The following is a 23950-nucleotide window of genomic DNA, read 5'->3' as shown; positions in this document are numbered from 1 at the left end:
TTTTACAGAGGAAGAAACTGAGGTCCCGGGGGGACATGGCTTATCTAGGTTCACACTCCTATAATCTGGATGGGTGAGTGGAAGAAGGAGAGTGAACTCCTGGACAGGGATGCTCCTGCCCTCCTCTCTGTCCCAAACCTGCCAAAGCCTTCAGGTTTAGAAATTCAGGGAGTGTCTGGGGTATAAAAGGAATTTTTGCTGCCCATGGTCTAACTTTTATTCATTCAGCACATCCTGAATTCTGGGTATATCAGTTGGCATGCAGTTCTCCAGGCGATCTATGCCTTTGCCAGTGCTGTTGCTTCTGCCTGGAATGTCCCAGCCCTCCCTCCTACTCATCCTTTAAGACTCAAGTATCACCTGTGGGTCACTCCCTCTCTCCCCCCAACACACACAGGCACACACCAGGTTGAGCAAAGCACCACCCACCTGGAACTTATCCTGATGACAGGCTATAGTGATAATAATCATACCACCCCTTACAGAGCATAGACACGGGGCCTAGCACTGTCCATACACTGCTTCAGTAAACTCACATAAGAACCTTTTGAGAATGGGAGTATCCTATCATGAGCCCTTTTTACAGATAGGGAAGTCGAGTCTCAAAACCATAACCATGCCCAAGGCCACAGCCAGGAGCAGGCAGGGCCAGGGTTTGCCCTGGACTATCTCTGGCTGATTCCCTCCCTCCCTTCTTTTTTTTTTTTTTTTTGAGACAGAGTCTCGCTCTCTCGCCCAGGCTGGAGTGCAGTGGCACTATCTCGGCTCACTGTAAGCTCCGCCTCGCCAGTTCACGCCATTCTCCTGCCTCAGCCTCCCAGGTAGCTGGGACTACAGGCACCCGCCACCACGCCCGGCTAATTTTTTGTTTTCGTATTTTTAGTAGACACGGGGTTTCACCGTGTTAGCCAGGATGGTCTCGATCTCCTGATCTCGTGATCCATCCGCCTCGGCCTCTCAAAGTGCTGGGATTACAGGCGTGAGCCACCACGCCCGGCTGGCTGGCTCCCTCCCTTCTATCTGCCTCCTCCGGGAAGGCTCCTTCAATTTATCCCTTCCACACCCAACTGAAACCCACCTTCCTCTGTTGCTTCTCTACGGCTTAACCTGAACCCAAATATTCACTAGTTGCAAGTTGGAAGGGAGTTCAAATTCCTGCTTTGCCACTGCTGCCTGGCAAACGCCTCACAATGCCACAGAGGCCTGCATCAGTGAAATGGGAATAATGTGCCCCATGTCTCCCCACAGGAAGTCCTTGAGGACTGGCATGTTTTATACCTACCCCTGAACAGGCACAGGGTTCTAAAGCAGGTTTGCTAAACTGAATTCAGTACTGATACCACTCCCTCTGAGGGGTTTCCTTACCCCAGGTAGACTGTTACACCCACCTTGAGGAAGGGATCTTCAAAGTGAGTGGCTCTCTAAATGTAACACTGATCAATGTCAAAGTTGTCAGTGAACACCCCTCCAACACCATTGGTCTCTACGTCCAGTCCACCGCGCACCGCGGTCTCTCACCAGGATTTTTCTTTTTTCTTTTCTTTTTTTTTTTTTTTTTTGAGACGGAGTCTCACTCTGTCGCCCAGGCTGGAGTGCAGTGGCATGATCTTGCTTCACTGCAAGCTCCGCCTCCCCGGTTCATGCCATTCTCCTGCCTCAGCCTCCCAAGTAGCCAGGAGAACAGGCACCTGCCCCATGCCTGGCTAATTTTTTTGTATTTTTAGTAGAGATGGGGTTTCACCATGTTAGCCAGGATGGTCTCGATCTCCTGACCTCGTGATCGTCCTGCCTTGGCCTCCCAAAGTGCTGGGATTACAGGCGTGAGCCACCGCGCCTGGCCTCTCACCTGGATTTTTCTAGCAGCCTGCTTACTGGCCCCCAGCCTCCTGGCATGACCCTCCGATCATCCAGCCTCCCCACACCAGCCAGGGCAAGCTTCCCAAAACACACATCTGACCCTGCCCCTCACCTGCAGAGACCCTTCCACTGTGATCCACAGCGCCCCACGCTCCAGGAATAAAGTCCAAACCACTAAGCATGGCTGGCCTGGCCCCAGTCAACACCCTAGGCACTCACCTACCTCCAGGCTTCTGCACAAGCTATTCCATTTCTGCAGCCCATAACACCAACCTCTTCCCACTGGCTGTCGAGAAAACTAAACTCTCTGACCCGCATCCCTCCTTATAGCCAAAGGCATCAGCCCCTCCTCCTATGATCATAGTTCTCCCCTTCCAGACAAATGCATATGTTCACAAAGACTTTCAGGGCATAAAGTATCCCCTTAAGGATGTGGCTGCTAGCCTCATCTTTGACACAGTGTCTTGAAATATTTGTTGAAGGAACAAATGATAAATAAATGAATGAATGCACATATAAAATATCCCTGTGAGGCTCTGTTTCTGAGTTGGTCAGAGATGTAGCCTGGTGAGGAGAAATGCTCAGAGCCAGACAACTGGCTCCTTCATTCTCCTGCCAAGGTCAGCCTTCAATAAAAAACAGCCCCGGCCAGGCGCAGTGGCTCATGCCTGTAATCCTAGCACTTTGGGAGGCGGAGGCAGGAGGATCACCTAAGGTTAGGAGTTTGGGATCAGCCTGGCCAACATGGTGAAACCCTATCTCTACTAAAAATACAAAAATTAGCCGGGCAGAGTGGCGGGCATCTGTAATCCCAGCCACTCTGGAGGCTGAGGCCGGAGAATTGCTTGAACCCGGGAGGCAGAGGTCGCAGTGAGCCGAGATCGCGCCATTGCACTCTAGCCTGGGCTGCAGAGCGAGACTCCATCTCAAAAAACAAAATAAAACAAAACAAAACAAAACAAACGAAAAAAAGCAGCCCCTAGGACCTCCAGTGGGGGTAGGGGCAGCTTCCAGCCTCTGAACCTAGGGTGAGAACTGTATCCCCAACATCAAGAATCAGTACTAGACTGCAGGGCAAGCCGACTGCTCCATAGCTGGAAAGTAACTCCAAGAGGACAAATCCTGAGTTGCCCTAGGCCACACCATTTCTACAGTGCTCCTGACATAGGTGCTCAATACACGCTGGTTGATGGAGCCAGCCAGTTCATGTGCCCAGCTGAAATGTATGTCCAGACACTGCATTGAAACTCTGCACTTCTCTTGGGTAATTGCACCCTTGTCAAGCATGCAAATCCTTTAAAAAGGATCCCCCTGCCAGAACCACCAAGATCTGGGCTTGTGTCTGTACAAATTCCTCGGGAACTGTCCCTGGCTGCAACAGGAAGGAAGGAGGCGCCAGAGTCTGGGGGTGCACACGTTTGTCCAGGAACCTTGATGGATTAGCAGAGGGAAAGCCAGACCAAGGGAGAAGCTTTGTCCAAATGTCTTGGTTACTCATTAGCCAAACCTCAGAGCTTCTCTCTGCAAGGGGGGATCAGAGGGGCAATTAACCCATTTGGAAGAAAGGTTAAGCTAAATAGCTCTCTAATCCTGCGGTTTCAAAAGATAGCAAGTAGGGTTTCTGGAATCTTTAGATACTGTAAGGCAAGCACAGGGGATGGGGCACGGGAAAGGAGAGGCCATAGACTGAGGGAGGCACTGATACTTATAGAGCCCCTACCTGTTTCATACCCTTCATTCCGATCCATCCTAGGCCAAGCCCATTTTGCCCAGAGGGTCCCCATCTGGATTCAGATAGGTTAAGTGTTTTGCCCAAGGTCACAAAAAAGGTGCAAAGAAAGTGTTTTTCTTTGTGCAACAGGTACAGTCCTTTCCCTTCCAAAAGATAATGGCTGCTCCTGGCTAGAGAAAGTTCAGTCCCGGCAGGCAGGAAGCCCTAGCCACCTAGGCGTCGCGCGGTGGAGGTCACACGCCTGCTCCGGGACTGGACAAACAGCAGGGTTTTAAGGCGCGGCGTCCCCACTCCCAGGCGAGTTTGTGCCAGCAGGGTGTGAAAAGGTCAGGCTCGGGTGGGGGTCAACGAGCCGCTTCCCATCCCGAGGGCCCCACCCGTGAGCCCGGGTGGGCCGCGCCGCCATCGGGGCGGGGACCACGCGGGCCTGCCTGGTAACAGGGGGACTGAGGCTTAATCCCATCAGGGCGCCTCCGCCCTGGGAAGACGAGCGGAGGGGGGGCGCAGGCCAGGCCGAGAGGACGTGTCCGGAGCCTCCGCGTCCGAGGGGCCCCGCGCGCCGCCCCTCTCACGCCCCCCGAACCACCGCGCTGTCCTCCGGGCTCCCCTCGACCAGGGTTCCGTCTCGCTCGCCGCCCTTGCTTCCCACTTCCACCTCCGGGGCCTCCAACCCGCACAAATGTCCAGACCCTAGCAGCTCCAGGCTGAGTAACCCAGATCTCCAGCGATCCCTCAGCTCCTAGCCACGGGATCTCTCTGAATCCATTCCCAAGGCTCAGGCTGGCATGGGAGGAGATTGATCCTCTCGCTCCCAGTCTCGAATCACCCTTCGCCGTCACCCCTGACTGGGGATCCAGTGGGACCCCAGGCCTCCAGCGCCCGATCCCCTCCAGGGATCGACTCCCAAGTCGCCAACCAGGTGGCACGTGATCCATTGGTTGCCCTGTGCGGGATCTTCCCGCGGGATCCACTCTCAAGTCTCGGGAGACGGATTCCCCGGCTCCCAAACCGGGATCCTCCCTCCCTGCAGACCCGGAGTCTGGGGAAATCCTCCGGCTCCCCGCCTCTTCCCCGGCCAACTTTGCCAACTTTTCTCCCGGGGCCTCGGCCGGGCAGAAACTTGGCGGCCCTCGCCAGCCGCCGTCACCCCCAGCTACCTCGTCGGCCGGGGACAGGAGGCGGCCAGCCGGCCCCCACTGCCCGCAGCCGCTGCGCAACCTACCGTGGAGCCACCGCCAGCCCGCGCCGCGCCGCCACCTGCCCGCAGCCCGCGGCACCTGCCCTGGGAGCCCGCAGCCCCGCGCAGCCTAGCCTGCTGGGGGCGGGGCCTCGAGCGGGGACGCGCCCCCGTCACCATGGGAACTGCCGCCGGCCGCGCCTGCGCGGAGGGGAGCAGAGCAGGCAGGACCCGAGTCCGCAGTGGCGCCTGGGCCTGGGACCTCTCCGGCGGGTCAGAGGTCACGACTCGCTTGGACACCCCTGCCGGAAGCGCTCCCGCCCCTCGAGGCCCGACCCCGCTCTGTCCAATTGGGAACTTTGCTCCGGGTACCCTCCCGCGTTCCCTGGATGTTCCCCAGTCACCAGCCAGGATCCCCCGCCACCGGCACCGACCCGCTGCCCAGCCGGCGACCCCGAGAGCCTAATGCAACCCAGGATTTCAGGAGGCGCTCCATAAATGTGGGCCCACTGACTTGCCTGGGCTGCTGGTGCCGGCCCGGGGGCGGGCAAGGTCTGTGCGCGGTGCTGGCGCCTCCTCGCGCCAAGCAAGGGCACTGCACCTGAGAGTTCGCTGGAGCGCCTACTGTGTGCGCATCCTCCTGCCATTATGTTGTGGGTGTGAGTTGTGGGGTAATGGGTACAGGAACTTGTGGACAAGTTGAGAGAATCGTAGGAAGTCGCCTCTGAAAGAGAAAATACCTGTTCTGTTATCCGTTACTCATTTCATTCAGCAGATCTTTATTAAGCACCTATTGCATGCTGGGTGCTGGAGAACCCAGTGGTGGGCAGCTGGCAAAATCCAGGCTGTTGTGCAGCTTACAGATATTCAAACAAATAATTTCACGAGTATATCAAATTGAATCTGTGACATGTGCTCCTATGGGAAATGTACAGAGCATGAATAACTGGAGGACCTAAAATCAATGTGCCTTTATTATAAGCAAGATAGACCTCAATAAAAAAAGAGAAAGAAAAGGACATCACAGGCTGCGCACGGTGGCTTGTAATCCCAGCATTTTGGGAGGCCGAGGCGGGTGGATCACCTGAGGTCATGAGTTTGAGACCAGCCTGGCCAACGTGGTGAAACCTCGTCACTACTAAAAATTACAAAAATTAGCTGGGCGTGGTGGCGGATGCCTGTGATCCCAGCTACTCGGGAGGCTAAGGCAGGAGAATGGCTTGAACCCGGGAGGTGGAGATTGCAGTGAGCCAAGAGCGCGCCACTGCACTCCAGCCTGGACGACAGAGCAAGACTCCATCTCAAAAAAAAAAAAAAGAAAAAGACATCACATTGTGTGGCTTCAGGAGGATTGGTGGGGAGACTTCTTGCCTCATTTTGCTCTTAAATTGTTGGGTGTGTGTAAGAAACAAGGGTAGCTCCTGTTCTCCACACCGTTTGCACTGCAACCCTTTTGAAGGTCTGATCATCACCATCAGACCCAGGCAGGGTAAACCCTGTTTACCAAACAGCAGCCCGAGAACCCCCAACTGACTTGTGTACAGTGCTGGAACCCAGGAATTGGGGGGCAGAGGTCCCATGAGGTCTCATGTCTCAAGACATTCTCCTTATCATCTGGGTATCTTGAGTACAGTCATCAAAAGGATCAAACCCAGTTGCTTTTACAGACAACTACCACTTCCAGAGAGAAGTCTGTGAGTAGGAGACCAGGAACGGCTGGGTTGAAACTTAAAATCCTTCAAAATCCACGTAAGTCAGGCCTTTACATGACGTGTATGTTATACCAGCAAAGGAAAATCGTTGATTGTCTGCTCTTCTCTCTAGACCTCCTGGAGGAAGGGACTTCTGTCTGTCTTTCACCTCCGATTCCCAGTGCCTAGAACAGGGCTTGGCACACAATAGGTGCTCAAAGAATGTATGCTGAGTGCATGAATGACCAACAGCTGATGACATGCCATCTGCTGCCCCTCCTCCCTAACCTTATGGGAACTTCCTGTCTCTCCTGGGCAAATCTCCATGAACCAGAATGCGTAGGCTGGGGGTTCTGTTCAATGGAATGTTCCATGTTTCTCAGCTCCCCAGCCAATGCAGGCTTCCACCTTGGCATCGCCTCTCCATTCCAGAACATAAGGATGGGAGGGGACAAGATAGTCCTCCTCCTGCCACCCCCCATGGAGACTCAAACCCAGACACGTCCCCAGCCCTGACCATCAACCCTACTCTCTGCCCCAAGAGATGCCCAGCCCAGACCGGGTGTCAGCTCTTCTATCCCTGTCAAGCTTTAAGGGGATTCCAGAGGTGCTGAACTACAACTCCCAGAGTCCTCCTGAACCTGGACCCAGAAGGGGCAGGACTTCCTGGTCAGCCCCCACCTTAGCTGGTTCCCCCTGCATTCCTGTGTCTTCCCGCCTAGGTGAGAGATGCCAGCTCGCACATACCCAGAGGTAGACCCTGACCAAAGAGGTGTCAGGTAGTACAGTTTCCGGAGGCAACACCCCTCCCTCCCCCAACCTCACCACTCCCAGCCCTGGCTTTTCTTTTTCTAAGAATAGAGCACAGTGCTTCCCAGGGATTTTCCCAGAACCCTTTCTTCGCAGTCTTTTGTCCCCTCCTCCAGAAGGTCCTGATTAGCCTGTGTCAGCTCTGTCCAATAGAACTTTCTGCAACGATGGAGATGTTCTATATCTGCACTGTCCAACATTAGCCACAGATGACTATTGAGCACTTAAAATGAGGTCAGGGAGACTGAGGAACTAAGTTTTACATTTTATTTAATTTTAATTAGTATAAATTTTAAAATCCACACGTGGCCCTGGCTACCATATTGGACAGTATAGCTCTACACCCCACACACCCCTTGCAAAGACCATGTTCATGCATTTTCGTTGGTGCATATTTATCCATTTTGTTTTTCCTAAAATTTATCTGCATGTTGAGTGTGAGAGCCGGTATGTTCTTTGAAATGTTTTCCCTCAACACTAGTCCTATGCCCATGCCATTACCCCCACCAGGAAGTCTTTGCCCTCTGCCTCCCCATCATCTAGTTAACAACTAAATGTCCCTCAGATCTTAGCTTCTACATCAGTTCCTCTAAGAAGCCATCCCCAACCACCAAAACTGATTAGATGTTGCAGAATCTGGGGCTGGTGCCCGCACTCATTAAAGTTCTGATCACACTGTAGTGTAATTGCCCAATTACTTTTCACTCACTTTCTAGGCTGTGAGGTCCTTGTGGGAAGAGACTAGCATAGTACCTGAAACAGAGTTGTCACCCAATAAATATTCATGAAGTTCAATGTTGCATAAATGTTTTCACATGCTGGAATCCAGCGTTTGGTTCACGGTAATGATACTAATGAAGGCTATCATTTATTCAGCCAAATATTTTGCCTGTGCTATCTCATTAAACTCCACAACAACCTATAAGACGTGCTCTATTATTATTATTACTTAATTTTTTTCGAGACAGTCCCGCTCTGTCGTCCAGGCTGGAGTGCAGTAGCACAATCTTGGCTCACTACACAGCCTCGCCCTCCTGGGCTCAAGCCATCCTCCCGCCTCAGGCTCCCGAGCAGCTGGGACTACAGGCATGCGCTACCATGCTTGGCTAATTTTTGTGTTTTTGTAGAGATGGGATTTTGCCATGTTGCCCAGGCTGGTTTTGAACTCCTTGTTCAAGCGATTCACCCACATCAATCTCCCAAAGTGCTAGGGTTACAAGTATGAGCCACTGTGCCCCGCTGAGATGCTCTATTATTATCTACCTTTTACAGATGAAGGATCTGAAGCTCAGAGAGGTTAAGTAAGTTGCCCAAGGTCACACAGCTAGTATTTCAGCCTGGCTCCCTGGAAAACAGAGCCCAAGGAAAATTTTATGTACTAATGCTTTATTAGGGATAAAATTCCAGCTCAGTAAGGGTGAAGGGAAGGGGACTTCAAGGCAAGGGAGGAGGGAGAGCAAATATAAGACATGCCTTACTAGGCTGGCTACAGAAGCCACGTGAAACAGACCATGGAAGGAATGAAGGAAGCGCGAGGACTTCATCGGCTGGCGCCTCCCATCCTCTGTCCACGATTAGTCACTGTTGGGCCCAACTGTGTTATCTGTGCCTCCAGACAGCCCCAAGGGAAGCCAATTCCATACACAGGGCTTCACCTGAGCCTAGAAGAGGAGGGTCCAGGGCTCCCTCCCTTGAAGCAGGTCAGGTCTGCTTGAATGACAGCGGGAGATGCAGGCCTAGGTGGCTAAGTAGATGCAGCAACTGACCCAAGCCGCCTGCAGGCGGAAGCAAGAGGAGGCTTGATCTTGTCCAGAGCTGCTGGCTGGCTGGGAAGGACGCAGCTGAGCACACCTGAGAAGGTGCATCAGTCAAGCCTGATACAGCGAGTAAACATCACAACTGAAATCCAAATCCAGTTTAGGCTAACTCCAGTGCCCTTCAACACATATTGATTGAAAGGGGAAAAATGAATATATGAATGATTGAATGAGTGACTGGGGAAAAAACCCAGGCAGCCACCACTCCAGACGCCCTCATTTTACAGGTAGAGAAACTGAGGCCAAGGAGGCAGTGATGCCCCAACTCAGGTCACACTGACTGAGGCGGCAGAGCTGGGACTTGAATGAAGCCTGAGACACGGCTTCACTGAGATTTTCTGCCTCTAACTGGCTGGGAACCTCCTGCTTCTGGCAATACCAACTGCCAGGTGCTCATTCGTTAATCTACAGGGAAAAGCTCGCATTTCCTGTGCACCGAGACGATGTCTTTTGTTCTCACCTTCCTAGCAGCCATCTCCCCTCTGCCAACAGCATCTCCGTTTTCCTCCAGGGAAGAATCCCACCCGCTACACTCAGTCCATGTCGTTTCAAGGGCGGTAAGCCTCGCGACACCCTTACTTGATCCTCACTTTCCAAACCTTAACCCCCAACCCTAGGACACAGGATGTAGGTCTGGCCAATCAGAGCATCCCATTTGCCTGGCCACAGTGATTGATTCGTGGTAGGCATGGGACCCAAGTTTGTCCATTGAGTGTTAATCACAGCACTTGCTGCAATAGTGTGCAAAGAGAAGCTTTCTTTTCTCTGGGGTTGCTGAGTCTCGGAATGTCAGCCTGGAGCCACCAAAGGGCAATATTGTTAGAGGGAATCCACCTAGAGAGTGAAGCCAACTGAGCAGAAAACAGAACTGAGAGCTGGAGAGAGAGAGGGGTTCTGAAGACATTGCTTATTTACCTGGATCCCACTATGCCTGAAGCCCATCCCAGAGAATTTTCAGTTACGTGAACCAATACATTTCTCATGTCTATTTGAGTGGTGCTTCCATCACTTATAGCAAAAGAATACCAGGCCAGGCGCGGTGGCTCACGCTTGTAATCCCACCACTTTGGGAGGCCGAGGTGGGCAGATCACAAGGTCAGGAGATCGAGATCATCTTGGCCAACAAGGTGAAACCCTGTCTCTACTAAAAAAAAAAAAAAAAAAAAAAATACAAAAAATTAGCTGGGCATGGTGGCAGGAGCCTGTAGTCACAGCTACTCAGGAGGCTGAGGCAGGAGAATGGCGTGAACCCAGGAGACAGAGCTTGCAGTGAGCCGAGATCGCACCACTGCACTCCAGCCTGGGCGACACAGTGAGACTCTGTCTCAAAAAAAAAAAAAAAAGAATACCAGCACCTACTCTGTGCCAAGTTTTGTGGTAAGGATAAAGATATTTAAGACACAGTGCCTGACTTTGAGACGTCCACAGCTCACAGGGAAGATCCTATGAGAAATACACAGAAATATGCATATCAGTTGCCTGGGCTGGAATTATGAGGGCAGAAAGGTAGAGAACACAGTGGCAGCCACTTCTAAACTCCCAATCCCATTTCTCCTCCTGAGATTCTATCTGTGGTTTCCTACACCTGGCGTTTAATCATAGATCAGTTAATCCCTATTGGTGCCTTGCCCTACCCAGAAAACACTATACTCTCCCCTTGTCCCCACCTGGAGATGGCTTTCCCCTCTTTGCTCAGCCCACCCAGCAGCCTGGAGTGAAAGCTTTTATTTAAGGAAGTGGGAAGGAAAAACCACACACACACACACAGACACACCCTCAGACCAGTTCATCAAGCATGCCCTTGCATTGTTCTACAAGCTAAATTATTCCTTCAAAGGAGAGGAGAATTGTATAAGGTCACAGACGTGGATCCAAAGCCGGAGCCTGAGCAGAGGTGGCCACGCTGGAGGGTCTTGACCTAAAGTGTGGTGAGTCTGGAGGGACAAGTGACCTGAGGTGAGGAGTGAGGAGGGAAGGAAACTGGGATAGCACAAAGCACGTTCAGGGGCTGTTACAGGCTTCAGGGGGCCCATGAGCCTCTGAAATGACATACAATTGTGTGTGTGTGTGTGTGTGGGTGGGTGGGTGGGTGCATGTGCGCTCATGTGTGCATGCTTGCTTATGTGAGAGTGCACGTGGAAACATCCATAGTTTTGTTTTCTGGGGTTTTGTTTTTTTGTTTTTCTTTTTTTGAGACAGTCTTGCTCTGTCGCCCAGGCTGGAGTGCAGTGGTGTGATCTCGGCTCACTGCAACCTCCGCCTTCCGGGTTCAAGTGATTCTCTTGCCTCAGCCTCCCGAATAGCTGGGATTACAGGCACCCGCCACCATGCCCAGCTAAGTTTTGTATTTTTAGTAGAGACAGGGTTTTGCCATATTGGCCAGGCTGGTCTCGAACTCCTGACCTCACGTGATCCTCCCGCCTTGGCCTTGCAAAGTGCTGGGATTATAGGTGTGAGCCACCACACCTGGCCAACATCCATAGTTTTAAATCATATCTTCAAAGGAATGCATCAAAGGGTTAAGTCCCACAGACCTTCCTTTTGTAGATGGGGAACCTGAGGCTCAGAGCCGTTACATAATTTGTCCTAGGTGGCACAGCCAATCTGTGACAGATGCTGGAATAGATCCAGAAATTGGACTTACCTGGCTGCATAGCCGGGAGAATGTGATAAGAGATAAAAGTCCTTCCCAGACCCAGTTTGCCCATCTGTGCATCTCAGCCTGGACATGGCCTGCACCCCCCAGGCTGGACTGGGTGCCCTTCCTCTGTGCTTGTCCCCAGTGTCACCCCAGGCTTTTTCATGGTGTGGAGCTGTGTCTGTACTCAAGCCTGTATATATCGATTGATGGGTTGGGGAAGATACACATCTCAAGCTTTGCTTACGCAACCTCACACTCAGACACCTCCGGCTGCCCTAGTAAACATGTTCCTTCTGCAGGTTCTTCGTCCCAGGTCAAAAGCCCTAGAGGCATCCTTGCCTGTTCACCTTCCCTCACACCCCAGGCCTATTCTATTAGCAAATCTGATCAGCTTGACCTTTGCCCTTCAAAATCAATCCAGAATCTGACCACTCTTTGTCCTCCTCCCCTAACCCCACCTCCACGTCCATCCACATCCACCTTTGTCTCTTGTCTGACTGACGAGTCATCTTCTGAAGACTTCTCCCTCTGCTTCCCTTCTGCCTGTTCTCCACCCAGGAGCCAGAGTGGTCTTTTGAAAACCTAGGATGGTTCATGTCATACCCCTGCTAAAGACCAGCCATAGACTCCCTACCACACTCACAAGTGAAAAGCCAGGCTAGGCACGGTGGCTCATGCCTATAATCCCCAAACTTTGGGAGACTAAAGCAGGAGGATCTCTTGAAGCCAGGAGTTCAAGACCAGCCTAGGCGGCCAGGCGCGGTGGCTCACACCTGTAATCCCAGCACTTTGGGAGGCCAAGGCGGGCAGATCACAAGGTCAAGAGATCGACACCAGCCTAGCCAACGTGGTGAAATCCCGTCTCTACTAAAAATACAAAAATTAGCTGGGCGTGGTGGTGCGCATCTGTAGTCCCAGCTACTCAGGAGGCTGAGGCAGGAGAATTGCTTGAACCCGAGAGGCAGAGGTTGGGGTGAGCCGAGATCGCGCCATTGTACTCCAGCCTGGCGACACAGCAAGACTCGGTCTCAAAAACAAAAACAAAACAAAACAAAAAAAGACCAGTCTGGGCAACATAGAGAGACCTCACCTCATCTCTACCAAAATAAATAAATAAATAAATAAATAAATAAATAAATAGCCAGGCATGTTGGTGCATGCCTGTAGCCCCAGCTACTTGGGAGGCTGAGGTGGGAGGATTGCTTGAGCCCCAGGAGGTTGAGACTGCAGTGAGCTGTGATTGTGCCACTGCACTCCAGCCTGGGCAACAGAGCAAGACCTTATCTCTGCTACAAGGCGCACCGCTCTTTCCTACCCTCATTACTTCTAGTCACATGGGCCTCTTTGCATCTTCAAATGTGCCAAGGGCACACTCCCCTCAGGGCCTTTGCACCTGCTCCCCACTCTGCTTGGAATATTCCTCTGACACCTCTCCACGTGGCTCCCTCCATCACCTTCTTCAGGCTCAGCTCAAAGGTCACCTTCTCATGGGGCTTTCCATGACTATCCCCCAATTACCCAATCACTTGCTATCTCCCTCCAACGCTTCATTTTTCTCTAGGGCACTTATTGACATCTAACATATTACATATTGACTTGCTTATTTCCTCCCTGTCTCTCTCTCTCCCTCCAGAGTCTAAGTTCCATAAGGAGGGGCTTTTTCTATTTTCCTCACTGCTGAATCCTCCAGGACCTAGAACAGTTCCTGGAACATTGTAGACACCCAATAAATATTTGTTGAATGAGTGAGCACATGGACATATTGCTATATTTTGTTGGTCTGTCTTGCCTGCAAAACTCTAAGCTCTTTGAAGGTGGGGACTACGTTCTGTTCACCACTGTATCCTGGGGGTAGGGGGTTAAGAGATCACATTGAGCTGGGCACATTAAAGTTGAATGAATGATTGATCAACCCCTCCAATTTACAGAGAAAGACATAGAAGCCAGAAGAAGAAAGAGACTTGGCTTGACATATCAAGTCCCTAGCAGCTACCTCTAAACTCCCAGTCCCATTTCTCCTCCTGAGATTCTGCCTTTGTATGGCTTCTCTGGAATCATCCCTGTCCCCTGGGCAGGGCAGGCATGAGAGCTGACCATGCCCTAACCTTGGGCAGCTCTAGTAAGCCGTTGGGTTCGTTGGCCTTTAAATTAAATCCTTAATATCACTTTGGGCTTAGGGCCCAGAACCCGAGCCTGATTCCCAAAGTATGAGTCTCAGTTCTATGGCTTGCTTCCTGAGCCTCAGTTTTGTCATCTGTAAAATGGGAACAGTGATAATATTATCTATAATAGTATCTATCGCATCAGGTGGCCATAAGGCTTATAGGTAACAAGTGCTTACCTATGCAAGTGCTTAGACCGAAGCCTGGTGAGTGCCCAGAAATTGTTGACTGCTATTAAAAGTTAAGCACTGAGCCAGAGGAGAAAATATTCAGTCCCTTTCAAGCTCTCCTTAGGTGGATTCCAGCCAATTGCAGCCTGGCCGGATGTGGTTTCGGGTTATAATGCCTCATTTAGGTTTCTGGGCACCTGGACGGTTGACGTGATTTTCCCAGGTGACATTGAGCATTATCTGGAGAACAAAACTCCTTTCAAGGTGAGAAACGCCTGGACAGCCACTGGCGCAGCCAGAGAGAGGCACAATCATAGGCCTAGGTGGATTCAGCTCTCCCAGGCTTCCTGGCTGGAATTACACCCCTCACTATCTTGCCAACCCAAAGGAGAGGCTGATTTTGGTGTAGGGAAAACACCACCACCACCACCAAAAAAACCCCATAAAAATACTGTCCCCTCTCACTCAAGGGAGGATATTCCACTTGCTGGCGAGCAGCCACGAGGTTTTTCTCATCTCGGGGTAAAAAGCCCGTGCAACTTGACCCAGATATACCTGCCCAGGTTTATCTCTGCCCCTCCCCCAGCAACACACACACACACACACACACACACACACACACACACACACACACTTTATCCCCTTGAAGCTTCACAACAACCCTCACTCCCATTTTCCAGAGAGGTGAGGCCATCTCCCCAAACTCCTATAGATGGGAAGGGGAGGATCTGGGCTTCTCTGCCTTTTTCCATCATATCACCCTGCCCATTGACTGATCCCAACACTGTCTGCCCCTAGTCCAGACTAAGGGATTCATAATCTTCTTGTACAGATGGAGAAACTGAGGCCTAGAGCAATGGGCCTAGAGCCACTTGCCCCAGGTCCCGCACCAGGGATATGGTGGAGTGGTTGGTTGGCCTCTAACCCCAGAATTCCTGCCATGTTTAGTGGGTGGCTGGGCTTAGATGGCCAAAGTGAAACCCAAGGTTGTGCCGCAGGTGCCTGGCAAAGCTGGCTAAGTGCCCTTGGCCTGGTTGGCAGCTCAGCTGCTTTTGACCTTGAGTGCCCTTGGGCAGGCTCACCCTTCTGGGCTTCCTTTCTGGCCATCAATGGCAGGATTGGCTATTTGTTAGCAAATCACCTTCCAGTCTCAGCCATGCCGTGAAACCATGACTATTATTAAAGTAAGACTTGACTCTACATTGACTTACTTTTATATTAAAATACATTTGAGGCCGGGCGCGGTGGCTCACACCTGTAATCCCAGCACTTTGGGAGGCCGAGGCGGGTGGATCACAAGGTCAGGAGATCGAGACCATCCTGGCTAACGGGGTGAAACCCCGTCTCTACTAAAAATACAAAAAATTAGCCGGGCATGGTGGCGGGCGCCTATGTCCCAGCTACTCGGGAGGCTGAGGCAGGAGAACGGCATGAACCCGGGAAGCAGAGCTTGCAGTGAATGGAGATCGTGCCACTGCACTCCAGCCTGGGTGACAGAGTGAGACTCCATCTCAATAAATAAATAAATAAATAAATAAATAAATAAAATACATTTGAATTTCGGCCAGGTGCAGTGGCTCACGCGTGTAATCCCAGCACTTTAGGAGTCCGAGGCGTGCGGATCACGAGGTCAGGAGATGGAGACCATCCTGGCCAACATGGTGAAACCCCATCTCTACTGAAAATACAAAAATTAGCTGGGCGTGATGGCTTGTGCCTGTAATCCCAGCTACTCAGGCTGAGGCAGGAGAATCGCTTGAACCAGGGAGTCGGAGGTTACGTGAGCTGAGATCGCGCCACTGTACTCCAGCCTGGAGACAGAGCAAGACTCCGTCTCAAAACAAAACAAATGAACAAACAAACAAACAAAAAAATTTGAATTTCCATTGGAAAAGCAGTATCATGCCAAAAAAAAAAAAAAAAACAAATATACGCAAAATCAAACCACATTCACAGATTCTCACTAGAGTCTTGCTATGGACTGAATATTTGTGTCCACCCAAAATTTATATGTTGAAACCCTAACCCCCAAGGTGATGATATTAGGAGATGAGGCCCTTGGGATCTGCTTCAAGGGAACCCAAACCAAGACATCCATGGTGTTTCAGTCCAAAAGTAAGACGCAGAATGCAATACGTAATGCTAGCCTGGCCAACATGGTGAAACCCCATCTCTACTAAAAATACAAAAATTAGCCAGGTGTGGTGGCATGTGCCTGTAGTCCCAGCTACTCGGGAGGCTGAGGCAGGGGAACTGTTTGAATCTGGGAGGCAGAGGTTGCAATGAGCCGACATGGCACCACTGCATTCCAGCCTGGCCGACACACAGCAAGACTCTGTTTCAAAAAAAAAAAAAGATAATACCATCTGCAGCAATGAGAAATGCACGCATACAGCACCACACCAATTTTGCAAACCTAACTCCACACAAAATGACATACATTAAATAATTAAAATAAAAAAAAAACAAAGTGGCTGCTATAAACAGCATCTGTGTTCCTTGAGGCCAGCCTGGCCAATATAGGGAGACCTTGTTTCCACAGAAAAGAAAAAAGGTTTCTAATTAGCCACATGTGATGGAACGTCTCTGCAAAAAAATAAAAATAAATAAAAATTAGCTGCCCCAGTAGTCCCAGCTACTCAGCAGGTGGGAGGATCGCTTGAACCCAGGAGTTTGAGGTGGCAGTGAGCTATGATCATGCACTGCACTCCAACCTTTTTTCTCTGAAAGAAAGAAAGAGAGAGAGAGGGAAGGAAGGAAGGAGGGAGGGAGGGAGGGAAGGAAGGAAGGAAGCAAGGAAGGAAGGAAAGAAAGGGAAGGAGGGAAGGAGGGAGGGAGAGAGAAGGAAGGAGGGAAGGAAGGAAGGAAGGAAGGAAGGAAGGAAGGAAGGGCGGGCATATGTGTGTGAATTATTATTATTTTTTTTTTTTTGAGACGGAGTCTCGCTCTGTCGCCCAGGCTGGAGTGCAGTGGTGCGATCTCGGCTCACTGCAAGCTCCGCCTCCCGGGTTCACGCCATTCTCCTGCCTCAGCCTCCCAAGTAGCTGGGACTACAGGCGCCCGCTCCCACGCCCGGCTAATTTTTTTTTGTATTTTTAGTAGAGACGGAGTTTCACCGTGTTAGCCAGGATGTTCTCGATCTCCTGACCTCGTGATCCACCCGCCTCGGCCTCCCAAAGTGCTGGGATTACAGGCGTGAGCCACCGCGCCCGGCTATGTGTGTGAATTTTTAAAAGGTGCCCCGACTGGGTAGAAGCAGCCCTTTAGAACAGAGGAGGCTCCATGGAAGAATGGATAAATAGGCCGTGCGCGGTGGCTCACGCCTGTAATCCCAGCACTTTGGGAGGCCGAGGCAGGCGGATCACAAGGTCAGGAGATCGAGATCATCCTGGCTAACACGGTGGAACCCGTCTCTACTAAAAATACAAAAAATTAGCCGGGCGCGGTGGCGGGCGCCTGTAGTCCCAGCTACTCCGGAGGCTGAGGCAGGAGAATGGCGTGACCCCGGGAGGCGGAGCTTGCAGTGAGCCGAGATCGCACCACTGCACTCCAGCCTGGGCGACAGAGCAATAATCTGTCTCAAAAAAAAAAAAAAAAAAAAAGCGATAAATGAATGAACGAACGAACAAATGAACAAATGAAAGTATGCACGGAATATGAGAAGAGCCCTGCATGGACCAGTGAGGATGATGTGCCATGAAGAAGGTGGAGGGGCAAATGTTCAAAGGTCTTTCAGGGCTAACATTTATTCTAGGACTTGGGGGTTGTACTTCTAGAATTTGCTAGGGCAAAGTAACCCCCACTACCAGACCACAGTTATTAGTACCTCCCATTTGCATCTCCAGGCTCAAGGGGGGCTGATGATCTGGGGTCTGATCATAACACCAGATCCCTGGCTAGGGAGCACCTCGGCCAGCCCCTTTCTCTCCTTGTCCCTGCAGTCTCCATTAGTAATCTTCCCTGTTGACCCCTAGGTCAGCGATACTGCCTAATGTTGAGCAGTGTGTGGGTAGCTCTGGGGCTCTCTCTGACCTGCACCTCAGCCTTCAGCCTCATCTCCCCTGCCTGGTTCCAGACCCCGACCTTCTCCTTTGGCATCCTCACCTACTGCTCCTGGCCTCAGGGCAACAGTTGGAACCAGAGCTGCGTGACCTTCAGTTCCCTGGAGGATATTCCTGACTTTGCCTGGAAGGTGAGAGCTGGCTCACCAAGTCACTGGGTCTTCAGGGGCTCGTTTAAACTCATTAAGGCAGGAAAGCTGGCTGAGCGGAATTCGAGGAGGCTTTCCTCACTGCCTGAGTGTCCCAGTGGCTTCGAATTTGCCATTACTCTCCTTAGAACTGAGCATAGAAGTTCTTCAACCTGACAGCCCTTCAGAAACACCTGTGCAACTTTGCAAAGATGCCAAGTTCTGTGCTCCACCCGGAGCCCCTGTCTCTGTAGGCGTGGAGTGGGGTCCGGCTACTGATAATTTAACAAACATGCAGGATGATTCCAAAGGCAGCTGCCGGCCAATGTAGCACCTTCGTGCAAATTAGGAAAAGGTGCCCCTTCTTTAGGATGCTCTACTGCCATCTGCTGGAAAGTCACTGTAATCAGTTTGCAAATCTATGATGGCCCCCAACGTGTCTCTGAGAGTTGTGCAGTATACAACCTGCACGCTCTTACCTGGCCACCCTCTAAACACTGCTAGGTTTAAAAATGAAAGCTAAGGTGTTAAAGTCCCAGCTATGATGCACATTGCCAAAATCAACAATGGGGAGAATGGGAAAGGACTCCTAGTCCAGCACCTCTAAGGAAGAATATACAGCCTTCAAAATTGATTGTTATAAGGGTGATGTAACAGCAGCTACCAGGTGCCTCTCCTGATGATCCTGGCATGTAGCAAGTGCTTAATAAAGGTACTATATGCTGGTCAGTCAATGTGGATCTTCATTCTGGCTCTACCACTTAATTACCCATGTGTTCTGAGGCAAATGACTTCAGTTTCTTGGACTTTTATTGGAAAATTTATTTTCTTGGACAGTTTCTTTTTATGTAAAATGGAGATCATAATAGCACAAACCACATGCTGCGAGGACTCAGAAGCTGGTCAATGAGCAGGGGAGCATCCACCTGCCCCTGTCCCAGCCAACACCCTTCCTTCTGTCTCTTCCTTGCAGGTCTCAGCTGTGATGCTCCTCGGAGGCTGGCTCCTGTTGGCCTTCAATGCAATTTTCCTCCTGTCTCTTCCCTGCAGGTCTCAGCTGTGATGCTCCTCGGAGGCTGGCTCCTGTTGGCCTTCAATGCAATTTTCCTCCTGTCTTGGGCTGTGGCCCCCAAAGGGCTGTGCCCAAGGAGAAGCAGTGTTCCAATGCCAGGGGTGCAGGCAGTGGCAGGTAAATCCAATGCACAGGCACATAGTCAGTGCTCTAGACATATTTATGGAATGAATGAATGAATGAATGAATGAATGAGTCTGTGAGCAGAGCCTGGCCTCTCGGGTCAGACCTCAGAGATAAACCCTAGGATTGTTGACTATTCCTGGTCCTTTGGCAAGCCAGAAATCAGGGGGAGGGAGAGATGGCATCCTTAGTGTCACCCATTACTGCTCTTAGCTGACCCAGTCCTAATAATCTGTCCCCCTTTGTTTCTCGCTCATCCATCCACTTCATGTCATCCTTACCAGGGCCACCATACACAGTTGGGGATGTTGTGCACTGTGCAAGCATGCCCAGCTGAGAACTGAGAAGATGCTGAAATCTAGTCCATACTTCACTTGCTAAACTGTGAACCTGCAAGACTGCATCTCTTGAGAAGGGTCACTTTTCTGTAATTTATACATAGCTTTTGAATATACTAGCCAGGTCTTCATTGCAATCCTCATTCAATTAATGCTCCACCATCTCTTGCCTGGATTACAGCAATAAGCACCTCACAGGTCTCACTGCTGTCACTGCTCCCCCTTAGTGTCTATTTGGCCACATACTGGACAAACGAGTCCTGTTAACCTGACATCAGATCATGCCACTCAGACTGGCTTATCCACCCTCCAATCACTTCCCATCATACTCAGAGTAAAATCTGAACTTCTTACCGTAGCCTATGAGGCTCCACCTAACCCAGTCCCCAGTCCCTCACCAACCTCATCTCTTCCTTCCTCTGCCAGGCTCAGTGTGCTCTGGCTATTCTGATTTGCAATCTGTTGCTCATATACACCATGCTTGCTCCCTCTGCTGGACTCCTCTTTCCCCAGATTTTCACAGGTCTTGCTACTCACTTCATTACGGGCTCTGCTCAGATATCACTGCCTCCATGAGGTCTTCCATGACTTCTAGCTAAGGGATCTTCCCTCTCCTTAGATTCTCCATCTTCTTACTTTGCTTTATATTTTTCATAGCACATACTTACCTGAAATATCTAATCTGCCTACTTGATTATTGTCCCTCTTTCTCCAAAGAACATCAGCTCCATGAGGAGAAGGACATGTCTGTCTGCCTGGTTATCACCAGCCCCTAGCACAGTGCTTCATACATAATAGGTGCCCAATAAACATTTGCTGAGTCAATTGATGGAGACATGATCCTTGTCCTAGGCTTGCTTGCAGTGTCTAGTTTGTTGGGCGGCGGGGGGGGCGGGGGTTGGAGGGCATCAGTCAGTGGATATTTCACATGGTGGGGATGAGCAAAGGATGCTAGAAAAAACTCCAGGAAACACCTGACCCAGTGCATGGATGGGCCCAGTGTATGCATGGGTTAAGGCAAGCTTCTTGGAGGAGGTCCCACCTGAGCCAAGTCTGGAAGGATGAGTAGAAGTTAGCCAAGAGTACAAGGGCATTTCTGGTAATGGGAACCTGAAGAATAAAGGCATGGAAAAAAGGGAGCAAGGCATGTGCAGGGAACTGAAAGTAGACAAGGGTGGCTGGAGAGCAGCAAGGGAGGCCAGGGGATCTTCTGATTTCTTTTATGAGTGCCTTGGAAGCAAGAAGGTGTCCAGTCATTTCATTAGTATCATTAATGCCCACTGCAGCACCTCTAACAGTTTTGATGAATGAACACGTGACTGCATGGGTGAGCTAGTGAATGGATGAATGAGTGTGTTGATAAGTGGATGAATGAACTGTTGGATGAATAGATGGATACATTGGTAGATGGATGAATGGATAGATGGATGGATGGACTGGTGGATGGATGAATGGATGGATGCAAGGATAGGAAAAATTGATAGAATGGAATATAGTTGGATGGATGTAGGATGAGAGATGGGTGGATGGATGGATTGGTGGGAGGCAAGTGGCTAAGTAGGCAGATGGACAGATGAATGGATGAGTGAATAAATAGGTGGACAGAGGGATGGAGAGAATAAGTGGAGATGAACATGGCTGAGTGGATGGATGAGCAGATGGACAGAAGGGTGGAAGTGTAGTTGAGTGAGTGAGTAGGTGGATAAAAGGAGACATGAGCCAATAAATAAGTGAATGGATGGATGGGTGGGTTAGGGAATTGCAAAAATGAGTGGGTTGTTAAGTGGATGGATGAACAATGAATGAATGGGTGGATATTTTAGTGGATGGATGAGGAAAATGGGTATACTGGATGGATGAATGGAAGATGAGGGTGGATGATGGGTGAGCAGATGGATGGGTGGCAGGCAGGTGGTTAAGTAGGAAGATGGACAGAAGGATGGATGTGTGAATGGATATGTAGATAGGATAGAGAAAATAAGTGGGTAAGAGTATGTTTGAATGGATGGGTTAGTGAAGGGACAGATAGTTGGAAGCGTAGTTGAATGAGTGGGTAGACAAAAGGAGAGATGAGCCAATAAATAAGCAAATGAATGAATGAGTGGGTGGATAGATGGATGGGTGGATAAAGGGTGGATGAGTCGTGGGATGGAAAGTTAGTGAGGTACCCCTTGGCCAACACATTGTCTTTCCTTCCTGCTATCTCCAGCTACTGCCATGATTGTGGGTCTGCTGATTTTCCCAATCGGCCTTGCCTCCCCATTCATCAAGGAAGTGTGCGAAGCCTCCTCCATGTATTATGGTGGGAAGTGCCGGCTGGGTTGGGGTTACATGACTGCTATCCTCAATGCAGTCCTGGCCAGCCTCCTGCCCATCATCAGCTGGCCCCACACAACCAAGGTCCAAGGGAGGACCATCATCTTCTCCAGTGCCACCGAGAGAATCATCTTTGTGCCAGAAATGAACAAATAAAAATCTCCTGGGAGTAGCACAAAGGGCACACTCCAGAGTTTTATGAAATCATCATGTAGCCAACTTCAAATCCCATCTCTGCTCCTTCTTGCTGTGTGACTTCAGGCAAGCCACTTTACCTCTCTGGAACAGTTTTTTCTTCTGGAAAATGAAAGTTGAAATCATACCTACCTCATAAGGTTGTTCTGAGAATTCACTGGAGATGCTCTGTGTAAATAAAGCACTTTGCACCATGTCTGGCACATAGCGTTCAATAAATATTGGCTACTATTATTACAATCCTTACCTCAAGGACTGTGCTGAGAAGTCAACATCTTTAAGAAAACTGCCCAGGCTAATTCTGAGTTCATGGTTGTCACTCAAAAACTAAATTGTTTAATTGGCATGCGCATATTCTCTCTCCCTTCTCTTTTTATAATTCTTCCTTGTTTTAGATAATTTGAAAATTATTTATTTTCTCATCAAATATTTAGTGACTGCCTATTATGTATAAGATTTTGAGCCAATAGGCTGGGAGCGGTGGCTCACACTTGTAATCCCAGCACTTTGGGAGGCTGAGACGGGTGGATCATAAGGTCGGGAGTTCGAGACCACTCTGGCCAATATGGTGAAACCCCATCTCTACTAAAAATACAAAAATTAGCTGGGCGTGGTGGTGCATGCCTGTAGTCCCAGCTACTCAGGAGGCTGAGGCAGGAGAATTGCTTGAACACGGGAGGCGGAGGTTGCAGTGAGCTGAGATCACACCGCTGCACTCCCACCTGGGAGACACAGGGAGACTCTGTCTCAAAAAAGACAAAAAAAAAAAAAAAGAGCCAATTTTGGGGTGGGGAGAAGGAGTTAAGGACCTTTCTCACCCCTTATGAAAATAATCCCGTTGATGTGGAAACTACACTGTTACCTGGGACCCTTTAGAATCCATTTCCAACCTCTCTCTTCAGGCTCTTGTCACCCACCCAACCCCTGTGCCTCTCCTTCTAGCCACAGTAAACTTCTAAGCCCACAGCAGTCCTATTCCTGTGGCACGCCAGGACTCACCAAATGCAGGCCTCCATGACAACTGTTTCAGCACTGACCGAGTGCTTAAGTTTAATGTTAAAAGCCAGTGACCTTATACAAAGGCTGGAATGTAACAAAAGCCCACCAAGAGTTTTGCCTAGGCCTTTCCTGGGCCTCAAAGCATGACAAAATAACGAAGGAATTCTTAACACTACCCATTTTAGGATTAAACAAGTTTTACTGGGGTTCTGAAGAAACTCCCCAGGCCTCCACAAACAACTTTATTAGAGGTCTGAAGGAACCCCCCAAATCCCCGTGATTTAGCAGGAGACAAGATAAGGGTAATCATCTCATTACTTGGACCCATTTAGATTAGTAAATTTACTGAGGCTCCAGAGGAAGGTCTTCAAGACTCAGACCTTAGTTATAGATTAAAAGAAGTTAATTAATTAATTAATTAATTTTGAGATGGAGTTTTGCTCTTGTTGCCCAGGCTGGAGTCCAATGGCGTGATCTCAGCTGACTGCAACCTCCGCCTCCCGGGTTCAAGCGATTCTCCTGCCTCAACCTCCCGATTAGCTGAGATTACAGGCATGTGCCACCACACCCAGCTAATTTTTTTGTATTTTTAGTAGGGGTGGGGTTTCACCGTGTTGGCCAGGCTGGTCTCGAGCCCCTGACCTCAGGCGATCCACTCATC

The 23950-nt window shown here is 50.2% G+C and overlaps 2 protein-coding genes across 8 annotated transcripts in view, besides 2 other annotated features; one reads left to right on the top strand and one right to left on the bottom strand.

Moving 5' to 3' along the window:
* Positions 1–4868, bottom strand: part of KIAA1671 — a 244733-nt gene extending 239865 nt beyond the window's left edge. For all 5 annotated transcript variants that reach the window (NM_001386933.1, NM_001386932.1, XM_047441556.1 and 2 more), the window contains exon 1: positions 4812–4868. The gene's annotated coding sequence lies outside the window, so the exon portion shown is untranslated. The remainder of the gene's footprint in view (positions 1–4811) is intronic.
* Positions 4802–5051: a silencer, noted in NCBI's record as "silent region_13557". NCBI's record gives its function as "represses an Ori minimal core promoter by ATAC-STARR-seq in GM12878 lymphoblastoid cells {active_cell/tissue: GM12878}" and the evidence as "EXISTENCE:reporter gene assay evidence [ECO:0000049][PMID:35858748]".
* LHFPL7 (LHFPL tetraspan subfamily member 7) lies at positions 10890–22486 on the top strand. Of its 3 annotated transcripts, none has more exons than NM_001001663.4 (4): positions 10890–11012; positions 18133–18249; positions 19297–19435; positions 21989–22486. In NM_001001663.4, exons 3-4 carry the CDS (start codon positions 19309–19311, stop codon positions 22249–22251), a joined length of 390 nt encoding a protein of 129 aa, NP_001001663.1. In that variant the 5' UTR covers positions 10890–11012; positions 18133–18249; positions 19297–19308; the 3' UTR covers positions 22252–22486. The 3 variants fall into 3 exon arrangements, with proteins under 3 accessions (NP_001001663.1, NP_001375128.1, XP_047297261.1); NM_001388199.1 differs by having other exon boundaries at positions 18032–18249; XM_047441305.1 differs by having other exon boundaries at positions 10912–11040; positions 18032–18249; positions 21989–22476.
* Positions 20088–20382: a silencer, noted in NCBI's record as "tiled region #9438; HepG2 Repressive non-DNase unmatched - State 13:Ctcf, and K562 Repressive non-DNase unmatched - State 13:Ctcf". NCBI's record gives its function as "represses a minimal TATA promoter and a strong SV40 promoter by Sharpr-MPRA in HepG2 and K562 cells {active_cell/tissue: HepG2 | K562}" and the evidence as "EXISTENCE:reporter gene assay evidence [ECO:0000049][PMID:27701403]".
* Positions 22487–23950: the final 1464 nt, after the last annotated feature.

The sequence above is a fragment of the Homo sapiens genome, chromosome 22 (assembly GCF_000001405.40).
Source record: "Homo sapiens chromosome 22, GRCh38.p14 Primary Assembly".
Classification (NCBI taxonomy): Eukaryota; Metazoa; Chordata; class Mammalia; order Primates; family Hominidae; genus Homo; species Homo sapiens.
Note: the sequence above shows the minus strand (reverse complement) of the source record. Positions and strands in the feature narration are given on the sequence as shown.

Coding starts and splice junctions, on each gene's coding strand:
- LHFPL7 (NM_001388199.1), top strand. CDS start 18,049: ATGTTGAGCAGTGTGTGGGTAGCTCTGGGGCTCTCTCTGACCTGCACC. Junction 18,250..19,296: donor TTCCTGACTTTGCCTGGAAG/GTGAGAGCTGGC, acceptor TCTTCCCTGCAG/GTCTCAGCTGTGATGCTCCT. Junction 19,436..21,988: donor AGGGGTGCAGGCAGTGGCAG/GTAAATCCAATG, acceptor TGCTATCTCCAG/CTACTGCCATGATTGTGGGT.